The sequence below is a fragment of the Homo sapiens genome, chromosome 7 (assembly GCF_000001405.40).
Source record: "Homo sapiens chromosome 7, GRCh38.p14 Primary Assembly".
NCBI classification, from domain to species: domain Eukaryota; kingdom Metazoa; phylum Chordata; class Mammalia; order Primates; family Hominidae; genus Homo; species Homo sapiens.
The window spans coordinates 65,736,766-65,750,586 of NC_000007.14; the positions used below are offsets into that span (position 1 = coordinate 65,736,766).

The 13,821-nt window shown below is 45.4% G+C and overlaps 1 long non-coding RNA gene across 2 annotated transcripts in view, besides 1 other annotated feature; it reads right to left on the bottom strand.

Moving 5' to 3' along the window:
• The window catches only part of LINC03006 (long intergenic non-protein coding RNA 3006), a 123,801-nt gene that overhangs the window by 89,756 nt on the left and 20,224 nt on the right, over positions 1-13,821 (bottom strand). The gene's annotated exons all lie outside the window — the stretch shown is intronic.
• Positions 13,712-13,821: an enhancer, noted in NCBI's record as "active region_26072". NCBI's record gives its function as "activates an Ori minimal core promoter by ATAC-STARR-seq in GM12878 lymphoblastoid cells {active_cell/tissue: GM12878}" and the evidence as "EXISTENCE:reporter gene assay evidence [ECO:0000049][PMID:35858748]".

Sequence of the window (13,821 nt, forward strand, 5' to 3'; positions counted from 1 at the left end):
AGGATGGCTTGAGCCTGGAGGTTAAGGCTGCACTAAGATCACGCCACTGCACTCCAGCCTGGGTGGCAGAGTGAGACTCTGTCTAAAAAAAAAAAAAAAAAAAAAAAAAGAGGCCAGGCACGCAGTGGCTCATGCATGTAATCCCAGCACTTTGGGAGGCTGAGGCAGGCGGATCACCTGAGGCCGGGAGTTCAAGACCAGCCTGACCAACATGGAGAAACCCCGTCTCTACTAAAAATACAAAATTAGCCAGGCGTATTGATGCATGCCTGTAATCCCAGCTACTGGGGAAGCTGAGGCAGGAGAATCGCTTGAACCCGGGAGGCAGAGGTTGCGGTGACCTGGGATCACGCCATTGCACTCCAGCCTGGGCAACAAGAGTGAAACTCTGTCTCAAAAAAAAAAAAAAGAAAGTTGTATGATTGGAGGAGCCACATATATAAGAATTTTTACAGCAATACTGTGAACATTCTCAGTTACTGTGATTACTGTGATACTCCAATAGCCATTGGAAACTTTAAAAAGAGAATATCATTTAATGTCATAAATGATAACTTACAACATAAACTGCAGGAGAGTAGTTACTTCTGAAAGTAAGAAAGGAAATGAGATTGAGAAAAGGTATGTAGAGTTAATCAATGGCATTATAGTAATAATGTTCCTTTAAGTAGGATAGTAGGTGTACAGATGCTTTTTGTATCTGTGTGTATAAAATATTTGCTAACAAATTTAATATTTCATATCAATATGTTAAATAGCAATACATTGCTGCCTGGGCACGGTGGTTCACACCTGTAATCCCAGCACTTTGGGAGGCCGGGGCAGGCAGATCACGATGTCAGGAGATCGAGACCATCCTGGCCAACATGGTGAAACCCCATCTCTACTAAAATACAAAAAAGTAGCTGGGCATGGTGGTCCACACCTGTAGTCCCAGCTACTTGGGAGGCTGAGGCAGGGGAATCGCTTGAACCCAGGAGGTGGAGGTTGCAGTGAGCCGAGATCGCGCTACTGCACTCCAGCCTGGTGACGGAGAAAGATTCCATCTCAAAATAAATAAATAAACAAATAATACCAATACATTAAAATAGCATGAATGTCTTAAAAGAACACAGTTTGAAATGTGATTTAATATAAACATTAGCATTCAAAATAAGTCACACCATGGAAATATGCCCATGATATGTCACATGAATAAAGGAAGTTGCAGAACATATATATAATGTGAGCCCCCATTTTTGAACAAATAAATCTCTACGTGTGTCTATATCCAGGTATGGTATATGGTTATACATCTATGTCTATACAGCTATATAAAAGATGAAACATTCATTTATTTATTTATTTTTATGTTTTTGAGACAGTGCGTGGCTCTGTCGCCGTCCAGGCTGGAGTGCAGTGGTGCAATCTCAACTCACTGCAATCTCCACCTTCCGGGTTCAAGCGCTGGGATTATAGACATGAGCCACCACATCTGGCCTACAGCTATCTTTATAATGGAAAAAGTGGGGGAAATTTATATTACAAAGCAATATGATTATAGTATAAGAACTGCAGCAATATTTGACCGAATCTTCCCCTTCCTCCTCCTAGAAATTATGCAAAGTGATAGGGAGACATAGTGGGGGGGAATGAGGCAGAAATCCCATATTCAGCAAAACTAGAAGACAAAAAGTCACTGGAGACTCCAAGACCTGCACAAGGGCTACCAAAGTTACACGCGAAGAGGCAGATGCAGATCCTAGGAAACACAACTAAAACAGACTCTCTGAAGATGAGCCGTTCATGCCACAGTCCAAAAATGTGTTGTTTGAAACAAGCACAGCAGAGCAGGGATAAAAAGAACTGAGGGCAAGGCTCAAACAAGCAGAAAGGGAGTTGAAACCCTTGTAATCCAAGGGGTGAAGGGCATCTCTCCTGGCCTGAGCATCTTATGGGCAGAGTTAAGGTCCTAACACCCAGCTCACTCTCCTAGGGAGGGCATGGGAAAAGAATCAGCCTTCCAAGTAAATTCAATGTAGGGTGTGTCACTAACATTCTATTTTGGCCAGCACGGTAGCTCATGCCTATAATCCAACCACTTTGGGAGGCTAAGGCAAGAGGATTGCTTGAGCCTAGGAATTTGAGACGAGCCTGGTCATCATAACAAGAATCTTTTTTTTTTTTTTTGAGATAGAGTCTTACTCTGTGGCCCAGACTGGAGCGCAGTGGCACGATCTCGGCTTACTGCAACCTCAGCCTCCCAGGTTCAAGCAATTTTCCTGCCTCAGCCTCCTGAGTAGCTGGGATTACAGGTGCACACCACCAAGCCCAGCTAATTTTTGTATTTGTAGTAGAGACGGGGTTTCATCATGCTGGTCAGGCTGGTCTTGAACTCCTGACTTCATCATCTGCCCATCTTGGCCTCCCAAAGTGCTGGTATTACAGGCGTGAGCCACTGTGCCTGGCCCTAAGACTCTATCACTTGAGAGAGAGAGAGAGAGAGAGAGAGAGAGAGAGAGAGAGAGAGACAGCCAGTCGCGCCTGTAATCCCAGCACTTTGGGAGGCCAAGGCAGGTGGATTGCTTGAGTCCAGGAATTTGAGACCAGCCTGGGTGGCATAGCAAAACCCCATCTCTGCAAAAAAATACCAAAAAAGGCTAGACATGCTGGCTCACGACTGTAATCCCAGCTACTCGGGAGGCTGAGGCACAAGAATCCCTTGAACCCTGGAGGTGGAGGTTGCAGTGAGCTGAGATCGTGCCACTGCACTTCAGCCTGGGCAACAGAGAGACTGTCTCAAAAAAAAAAAAAAGGTAGATGAAGAGCTCACCAGAAACACAGGGGCTGTGTGCCCTATGTGCAGTGATTGGTGGTGATGCTAGGGAGTACTGGACTGGGAGGCGAAGCCCTACAGGGCCAGTTTAGAACAGTGCAAAGAAAAAATAACAAAAATAAAACAAAACAAAAAATAGTACACAGCAAAGGAGGCAGAACTACACAAAAACTACCAAGAGCCACATTGAATGACACAGTCTGACTGTGGCAGCTGAAAACCTTCGTTTGCATTGAGAAGCTTGTAAAACTACCCTGGTCCCTCTTGTCTTTCCTTCAGAGAAGACCCTTGCAAATGATCGGTCCAGGAAAATACAACTCATTCTATAATGAATTAAAGAAAAAAGGAAGGGACACCTTTGCTATGGGCTGAATGAACTGTGTTCCCCCAAAGTCCATATCTTGAAGTCTTAACCCCCAATACCTCAGAATGTGACTATATTTGGAGACAAGGTTTTTGTTTGTTTGTTTGTTTGTTTGAGACCAAGTCTCACTCTGTTGCCAGGATGGAGTGCAGTGGTGTGATCTCAGCTCATTGCAACCTCCACCTCCTGGGTTCAAGCGATTCTCCTGCCTCAGCCTCCTGAGTAGCTGGGACTACAGGCGCCCGCCGCCATGTCCAGCTAATTTTTGTATTTTTAGTAGAGACGGGTTTTCACCATGTTGGCCAGGATGGTCTTGATCTCTTGACCTCATGATCTGCCCACCTCAGTGTCCCAAAGTGCTGGATTACAGATGTGAGCCACCTCACCTGGCACAGAGACAAGGTCTTTAAAGAGGTGATTATGTTAAAATGAGGTCTCTAAAGTGAGCCCTAATCTAATCTGACCTGTGTCCTTGTAAGAAGAGAAAATTTGGACATGGAGAGACATCAGAAACATGTGAGTGCACTGGGCACAGTGGCTCACACCTGTAATCCCAGCACTTTGGGAGGCCAAGGTGGGCGGATCACTTGAGGCCAGAAGTTGGAGACCAGCTGGGGCAACATGGCAAAACCCTGTCTCTAGTAAAAATAGAAAAATTAGCCGGGTGTGGTGTCCCACACCTGTAATCCCAGCTACTAGGGAGGCTGAGGCAGGAGAATTGCTTGAACTCAGGAGGCTGAGGTTGCAGTGAGCCAAGATTCAAAAAGATCTGTTTGGAAAAAAAAAATGAATTCTTTCCATGGAAGACAAACAAAAATACAAATACAGGAATTCATGGAAAAGATGACAAAATAAGACAAGGAGAAGAGACAAAACTGACAAAATCCAGGAAAGAAGCAGAAGGAAGCCGGGCACAGTGACTCAAACCTGTAATTTCAGCACTCTGGAAGGCCAAAGCAGAAGGATTGCTTGAGGCCAGGAGTTCAAGACCAGCATAGGCAACAAAGTGAAGCACTGTCTCCATGAAACATCAAAAAATTATCCAGGTGTGATGGCGAGTGCTTGTGGTCCCAGCTACACGGGAGGCTGAGGCAGGACAGCTTGAGCCCAGGAGGTTGAGGCTGCAGTGAAACATGTTCGTGCCACTGAACTTCAGCTTGGGCAATGGAGTGGGACCCTGTCTCAAAAAAAGAAAAAAAAATCAAAAGGAAGTAGAAGGGAAAAACATAACTATCATGCTGGGCATGTTGGCACATGCCTATAATGCCAACTACTCAGGAGGCTGAGGCAAGAGGATCACTTGAGCTCAGGAGTTCAAATCCAGCCTAGGAAACATATTGAGATGCCATCTCCAACAAATAGGTAAAATAACCATCACAGAAGTGAATATGAAACTAAAAAGGGCAAAAATAAAAGTGGACACTATGAAAAATATATTAACCAATATGGAGGATAAAAATGAGAAAAGCAAACAGTATAAACAAAAGGAATTAAATGAAATTAGAGAAAAAATGACAGCTGGCCAGGTGCGGTGGCTCATACTTGTTATCCCAGTACTTTGGGAGGCCAAGGTAGGCAGATCACCTGAGGTCAGGAGTTCAAGACCAGCCTGGCCAACATGATGAAACCCTGTCTCTACTAAAAATACAAAAATTAGCCAGGCGAGTTGGTACAAGCCTGTAATCCCAGCTACTTGGGAGGCTGAGGCATGAGAATCGCTTGAACTCAGGAGGCAGAGGTTGCAGTGAGCTGAGATGGCACCACTGCATTCCAGCCTGGGCAACAGAGCAAGACTCTGTCTCAAAAAAAAAAAAAAGAAAAAAAAAGATAGCTATACAAAACAGACCAAAGAGAGCCAACATATGCACAACTGAAATTTCCAAAGAAGATAACCAAACATCAGAACAAATAAGTATTTAACTGGGTGTAGTGACTTGAACCTGTAGTCCCAGCTACTGGGTAGGCTGAGGTAGGAGAATCACGTGAGGCCAGGAGTTCAAGGCTAGCTTCAGCAACAGAGTAAGACCCCCATCTCTAAAAATAAATAAATAAATATTTAAAGATATATAGGCTGGGCATGGTGCCTCATGCCTGTAATCCTAGCACTTTGGGAAGCCAAAGTAGGAGGATCACTTGAGGTCAGGAGTTTGAGACCAGCCTGGGCAACATGAGACTCCTCCCTCCCCACCCCAACCCTGTGTCTACAAAAAAAAAAATTCGCTGGGCTTGGTGGCGCACACATGTTGGGAGGCTAAGGTGGGAGGACGGCTTGGGCCCCAGGGGTGGAAGCTGCAGTGAGCTGTAGTCATGCCACTGCACTTCAGTCTGTGCAACAGAGCAAGACCTTGTCTCAAAAAAACAAATGAATAAAGTATGAGCCAGTGATTTTTTGTTTTAAAACAAGCCAAGCCATTATTCACACAGAAAGGCTACAAACGATAGTTTTGAACATATAGGAATTCTGGGTATATTTTGCCCATGGGAATATTTTTCTTTTTTTTTTTTTTTTTTTTTGAGATTGAGTTTCACTCCTGTTGCCCAGGCTGGAGTGCAGTGGCGCCATCTCAGCTCACCACAAACTTCTGCCTCTCAGGTTCAAGCGATTCTCCTGCCTCAGCCTCCTGAGTAGCTGGGATTACAGGCATGTGCCACCACACCCAGCTAATTTTGTACTTTTAGTAGAGATGGGGTTTCTCCATGTTGGTCAGGCTGGTCTCCAACTCGCAACCTCAGGTGATTCGCCTGCCTCAGCCTCCCAAAGTGCTGGGATTAACAGGTGTGAGCCACCGCGCCCAGCCTCCCATGGGAATATTTTTCTTGAGGAAACTGTTAACGAATAAACTTTACCCACCAATGTATGGCAAAGGGAACTTCAGCAAAGGGACAAGCAGGAGCATTGAGTGTATATAACTGCAAAACTAAGACTTAAACAAACCCAGGTTTGGGGGAGAAAAAACAGAACGTAAATGTTATCTACTCGACAATATAGAAATGATGCAATAGAAAATTTAGGAGGACAAAGATTATGGAAGAAGTGAAGTAGGGTGAGTTTTTGCTGGCTGTTTCATCTATAACAACTGAGAGTTAAAAGATATTACTTAAATCACATTTAATTAACAGTGAAAGAATATTAAGAAAAACAACATTGTTGGCTAAAATCAGATAATAGGTCAGTCACGGTGGCTCACATCTGTAATCCCAGCACTTTGAGAGGCTGAGGCAGGAGGATCACTTGAGGCTAGCTACTTGGGAGGCTGAGGTGAGAGGATCACTTGAGCCCAGGATTTCAAGGCTGCAGTGAGCTAATGATTGTGCACTGCACTTTATTTAGCCTAGGTGACACAGTGAGACTCCATGTCAAAAAATAAAAATAAAAGGCCAGGTGCGGTGGCTCATGCTTATAATCCCAGCACTTTGGGAGGCTGAGGTAGGCAGATCACCTGAGGTTGGGAGTTCGAGACCAGCCTGACCAACATGGAGAAACCCCATCTCCACCAACAATAAAAAATTAGGCATGGTGGCGCATGCCTGTAACCCCAGCTACTCAGGAGGCTGAGGCAGGAGAATCGCTTGAATCCAAAAGTTGAGGTTGTGGTGAGCTGAGATAGCTTCATTGCACTCCAGCCTGGGCAACAAGAGTGAAACTCTGTCTCAAAAAAAAAAAAAAAGAATTCTTGAATCCATAATGATACAAATTCATTCATTCACTCATTCATAGAGGAGAAGGGAAAGTTCTCCTTTACAGTAGAATTCCAACCAATAAATGTATAATGAATGATGAAAACAGAAAATTGGCCAGGTGCAGTGCCTCACTCCTGTAATCCTAGCAGTTTGGTAGGCTAAAGTGGGAGAATCGCTTCAGGCCAGGAGTTCAAGACCAGCCTGAGCAACATAGCAAGACCTTGTCTCAAAAAAAAAAAAATCAGCCAGGCACGATGGTGGATCACTTGAGCCCAGGAGGTCAAGGTTGCAGTAAGCAGTGGTTGCGCCACTGCACTCCAGCCTGGGCAACCAGAGTGAGACCCTATCTCAAAAACATATATAAAATAAAATAAAAAATTAATGGAAAATTACCACTTGCAAACTGTCAGGTCTGAAATTTGATTTTACCCTACTTACAAACTAATAAATTAGCCTCTTGCTTGTTTTATGGATGTGGCCAAAGAAACAAGACTGCTGGCCAGGCGCAGTGGCTCACACCTGTAATCCCAGGACTTTGGGAGTCTGAGGCGGGCAGATCACGAGGTCAGGACATTGAGACCATCCTGGCCAACGTGGTGAAAACCCACCTCTACTAAAAATACAAAAATTAGCCGGGTGTGTGGTGCACGCCTGTGGTCCCAGCTATTCAGGAGGCAGAGGCAGAAGAATCGCTTGAACCCAGGAGACGGAGGCTGCAGTGAGCCGAGATCACGCCACTGCACTCCAGCCTGGGCGACAGAGCAAGACTCCATCTCAAAAAAAAAAAAGAGAGAAGGAAGGAAGGAAGGAGAGAGAGAGAGAGAAAGAAAGGAAAGAAAGAAAAAGAAAGAAAGAAAGAAAGAGAAAGAAAAGAAAGAAAGAAAGAAACAAACAAACAAACAAGACTCCTGGGTCAGAGACAAAGGACTTTATTGCTTACAGCATGGCAAGCAGCGTAGGCAGCAGGATATTTGCATCAGTTCCCCTTTCCCTCCAACTTCCATGGGGTAACACAACGTGGCCCAGATGGATGCCTCAAAGATGGTGGGTTTGGATCACAGCTGAGGAACACTCAGCTCAGGGAATCTATTGTTTTTGTTGTTGTTGTTTTATTATATATTTTTTTATTTTTATTTTTTATTATTTTTTTGAGACAGAGTTTTGCTCTTGTTGCCCAGCCTGGAGTGCAATGGCGCAATCTCGGCTCACCGCAACCTCTGCCTCCCAGGTTCAAGCGATTCTCCTTCCTCAGCCTCCCGAGTAGCTGGGATTACAGGCATGCGCCATCATGCCCAGCTAATTTTGTATTTTTTTAGTAGAGATGGGGTTTCTCCATGTTGGTCGGGCTGGTCTTGAACTCTCAACCTCAGGTGATCTGCCCACCTCGGTGTTTTATTGTTTTATTTTTGTAGAGATGGGGTCTCACCATGTTGCCTAGGCTGGTCTTGAAATCCTTGCCTCAAAGGATCCTTGACTTGGCCTTCCAAAGTGCTGGATGGCTGGGCACGGTGGCTCACACTTGCAATCCCAGCACTTTGGGAGGTCAAGGAGGGTAAATCACCTGAGGTCAAGAGTTCGAGACCAGCCTGGCCAACATGGCAAAGCCCTGTCTCTACAAAAATACAAAAATTAGCCAGGCATGGTGGCGTGTGCCTGGAGGCTGATGCAGAAGAATCACTTGAACCTAGAAGGCGGAGGTTACAGTGAGCCGAGATCGCACCACTGCACTCCAGCCCGGGTAACAGAGTGAGAATCCATCTCAAAAAAAGAAAAGAGAAAAAAAAATCAAGGCTCATGCCTGTAATCTCAGCACTTTGAGAGGCTGAGGCGGGCGGATCACCTGAGGTCGGGAGATTGAGACCAGCCTGACCAATATGGAGAAACCCCGTCTCTACTAAAAAATACAAAATTAGCCGGGTGTGGTGCTGCATGCCTGTAATCCCAACTACTCAGGAGGCTGAGGCAGGAGAATCACTTGAACCCAGGAGGCGGAGGTTGCAGTGTGCCAAGATCGCACCATTGCACTCCAGCCTGGGCAATAAGAGCGAAATTCCATCTCAAAAAAAAAAAAAAAATCAAAGTGCTGGGATTATAGACATGAGCCACTACGCCTGGCTGAAATCTATTGTTTTTATACCAAGCAGTGGGCAAGCCTGCTCTTTGTCCAAGAGGAAACATTAACTTGTCTCTGAAGATTACCAGCTGTGTAAACAACCCTGAGAAAAGGCCCAAATAAAGAGCATTCTTGGGCCTTGCATTCTTGGCACACCCAGCAAGACATGTAAGCACACAACAGATCCATGGAGGACTCTCAACACAAAGATCGCAATAAAAATTGTTTCAGGCAAAAATTATTGATGGGCTGGGTACAGTGGCTCAAGCCTGTAACCCCAGCAATTTGGGAGGCTGAGGCAGGAGGACTGCTTGAGCCCAGGAGTTTGAAACTCACCCAGGCAACAAAGCATGACATCTCTACACACACACACACACACACACACACACACACACACACACACACACACACGTTTTAAATTAGCCAGGCATAGTGATGCAAGCCTGTAGTCTCAGCTACTCAGGAGGCTGAGATAGGAGGCTGAGCCCAGGAGGTTGAGGCTGCAGTAAGCTGTGTGATTGCACTACTGCACTCCAGCCTGGGCAACAGAGTGAGACGCTGCCTCAAAAAAAAAAAAAAAAATCATCGATGGATGCTTAAATTAGTAGGCACTGTTATGATGAAAAACAGAACAGTCACATATTTTCCCACAAGATGCTTATTAAATACAAAGAAAAAATAACAACTTTATAGTAGAGCAATCTAGCAAACATTAACCAAGTGAACAAAGTTAACATCACCAGGAATGGGAAAAACTGCTGACATCATGTGACTCTTCCTACGATGCCTTGAAATGACACATAATTTCTCTGGCGTTCTTGCCAAATATGAATAACCTGCATTTTTTTTTTTTTTTGAGACAGAATCTCAGTCTGTTGCCCAGGCTGGAGTGCAGTGGTGCGATCTTTGCTCACTGCAACCTCCACCTCTTGGGTTCAAGTGATTCTTCTGCCTCAGCCTCCTGAGTAGCTGGGATTACAGGCACGTGCCATCAGGCCCAGCTAATTTTTTCTATTTTTAGTAGAGATGGGGTTTCACCATGTTTGCCAGGATGGTCTCGATCTCTTGATCATGTGATCCGCCTGCCTTGGCCTTCCCAAAGTCCTGGGATTACAGGCGTGAGCCACCGTGACCGGCCGTAACCTGCATTTAAACATAAGGAAACATGAGGCCAGGCGCAGCGGCTCATGCCTGTAATCCCAGCACTTTGGGAGGCCAAGGCAGGCGGATCACCTGAGGTCAGTAGTTCCAGACCAGTCTGGCCAACATAGTGAAACCCCATCTCTACTAAAAATACAAAAATTAGCCAGGAATGGTGGCAGGTGCCTGTAATCCCAGGTACTCTGGAGGCTGAGGCAGGAGAATCACGTGAACCCGGGAGGTGGAGGCTGCAGTGAGCGGAGATCGCACAACTGCACTCCAGCCTGGGCAAAAGGGCGAGACTCTGTCTCAAAAAAATTTTTTAAAAAATCATAAGGAGGCCAGGCACGGTGGCTCAAGCCTGTAATCCCAGCACTTTGGGAGGCCAAGGCGGGCAGATCACGAGGTCAGGAGATCCAGACCATCCTGGCTAACATGGTGAAACCCTGTCTCTACTAAAAAAAATACAAAAAAATTAGCTGGGCGTGGTGGCGGGCGCCTGTAGTCCCAGCTACTCAGGAGGCTGAGGCAGGAGAATGGCATGAACCGAGGAGGTGGAGCTTGCAGTGAGCCGAGATCGTGCCACTGCACTCCAGGTTGCGCGACGGAGCAAGACTCTGTCTCAACAAAAAAAAAAAAAAAAAAAAAAAAATAAGGAAATATCAAATAACCCTAAAGTAAGGGACATTCTGTAAAATAACTGGCCAGTACTAAAAGCAATGCCAAGATCATTAAAGACTGAAAAACTGCAGAACTGTTTCAGACTGAAGGACATGACAACTAAATGCGAAGCGTAATTCTGGATAAATAGACTCCTGGGCCAGAGATAGATCATGATATAATTAGCAAAATTTGAAAGCCATCTATAGATTGGATCATGCGTCAATGTTAATTTCTTATTCTGGGGTTAAATATGATGTTTACATTTGGGGGATCTGTGTGTAGAGTATGGCAATTCTTCTTACTGTTTTTTACAAATTCTTTTTATTTTTAATTTTGAGACAGGGTCTCACTCTGTCGCCCAGGCTAGGAGTGCAGTGCTGCGATTTTGGCTCACTGCAACCTCTGCCTACCGGGTTCAAGCAATTCTGCCTCAGCCACCTAAGTAGCTGGGATTACAGGTGTGCGCCACCACACCAGGCTTTTTTTTTTTTTTTTTTTGCTTTAAGTTCAGAGATACATGTGCAGAATATGCAGTTTTGTTACATAGGTATACACATGCCATGGTGATTTGCTGCACCCATCAACCCATCCTCTAGGTTTTAAACCCCGCTTGCATTAGGTATTTGTCCTAATGCTCTCCCTCCCCTTGATCCCCACCCCCTGACAGGCCCCAGTGTGTGATGTTCCCCTCCCAGTATAGACCCATAGGGAATGTTTCAAAAGTGAGAACTTCTTATACATGTTATTTAAAATGTTTTTCCCCCTATCAATAACTCCTATTTATGTATTTAATATACTTCCATTATGTCACCTTGGCAACAAGTCTCGCTCTTGTCGCCCAGGCTGGAGTGCAATGGCGTGATCTTGGCTCACTGCAACCTCCAACTCCCGGGCTCAAGTGATTCTCCTGCCTCAGCCTCCTGAGTAGCTGGGATTACAGGTGGCCGCCACCATGCCTGGCTAATTTTTGTATTTTCAGTAGAGACAGGTTTCACCACGTTGGCCAGGCTGGTCTGGAACTCCTGACCTCAGGTGACCCACCCACCTCAGCCTCCCAAAGTGCTGGGATTATAGGTGTGAACCACCATGCCCAGCTTTTTTTTTTTTTTTTTTTTTTTTTTTTTTTTTTTTGAGAAAGAGTCTCGCTCTGTCACCCAGGCTGGAGTGCAGAAACATGATCTTGGCTCACTGCAACCTCTGTCTCCAGAATTCAAACGATTCTCCTGCCTCAGCCTCCCAAGTAGCTGGGATTACAGGCGTGCGCCACCACACCCAGCTAACTTTTTATATTTTTGGTAGAGACGAGGTTTCACCATGTTGGCCAGGCTGGTCTTGAACTCCTGACCTCAAATCAAATCATCTGCCTGCCTCAGCCTCGCAAAGTGCTGGGATTACAGATGTGAGCCACTGGGCCCGGCCTTTTTTTTTTTTTTTTTGAGACACAGTCTAGCTCTGTCACCCAGGCTAGAGTGCAGTGGCATGATCTTGGCTCACTGCAACCTCTCCTTCCCAAGTTCATGCAATTCTCATGCCTCAGCCTCCGAGTAGCTTGGATCACAGATGCACACCACCATGCCAGGCTAATTTTTGTATTTTTACAGAGACAGTGTTTCACCTTGTTGGTCTTGCTAATGTTTGTATTTTTACAGAGACAGGGTTTCACCATGTTGGCCAGGATGATCTTGACCTCCTGACCTCAAGTGATCCGCCGGCCTTGGCCTCCCCAAGTGCTGGGATTACAAGTGTGGGCCACCACGACTGGTCTCCTCATAACATTTTTAACAGCAGTTATAATAAATCTGCATGCACACCATGTAATGCCTATGGAACTAATAACTAGTCTTCTATTGTGCAGTGCTTCTAGTCACATATATAGATGTTTTTGTGATTCTCAAATACACAAATCCTCCTAAAAGCATCATATACCGATATTCACTGCAGCCTGAATAGCAGATTGGGAACAACTTAAACATCAGTCAGTAGGTGACTGGTTAGTTGTATCATTCTTTTTGAGACAGGCTGCAGTGCAGTGGCAATATCATAGCTGACATAGCTGACTGCAACCTCCGCCTCCTAGATTCTGGCGATCCTCCCACCTCAGCCTCTCGAGTAGCTGGGACCATGGGCATGCACCACCACGCCCGGCTAATTTTTGTACTTTCTGTATAGATGGGGTCTCACTACATTGCCCAGGCTGGTCTTGAACTCCTAGGCACAAGTGATCCACCTGCCTCGGCCTCCCAAAGTGTCGGGATTACAGTCGTGAGCCACCGTGCCCCGGCTCCTAGTTGTGTAATTCTTACGAAGAACATCACGCAGCTGTTAATGAGGACTTCCCATTAGTCTTGATATGGCACACTCTCCAAGACATTTAAAGTATAACACACCCTACAGTGTGTATTAGGAATTGCCATTTGTGTGGGGAAATGATTATATTTACATATAAGTTTATAAATTCAGAAAGCATTCCGAAAATTCATCGAGTATCCGGGGTAACTGTGCTTGTCTCTAGTGTTGAACTAGTGGCGGGAGGAAGATTTAATTTCCACCACATGCCCTTTGGTGCCTTTTGAATTCAGAACAATTTCCGTTATCTATTAAAAATAAAATACTGGCCGGGCACGGTGGCTCATGCCTGTAATCCCAGCACTTTGGGAGGCCGAGACGGGAGGATCACTTGAGCTCAGCAGTATCACTTGAGCTCAGGAATTTGAGACCACCCTGGGCAACATGGTGAGGCCGTGTGTCTATAAAAAGAAAAAATGAAGTAAAATATCACGTGTAACTGAATCCCTGGAATTTGGCGGGCACCGGATACTGTAAACAATTGTGGAGCTCTTTGGAAATTTACCTTAAAAGGGAGTCCTCTCAAAGGCTGGACACCATCACTCTACAAGGGTGAGTTTTCAAATCTACCATAGAAGCCTAGGGCCTCAGCAGCATCCTGAGTCCTAATGACGGACAGGTTATGACTCAACTCCCATCGCACCAGTCCTGCAGCTTTCTAAAGGCATCCAGCACTTTCTACCTTGCATTCTATCTTCA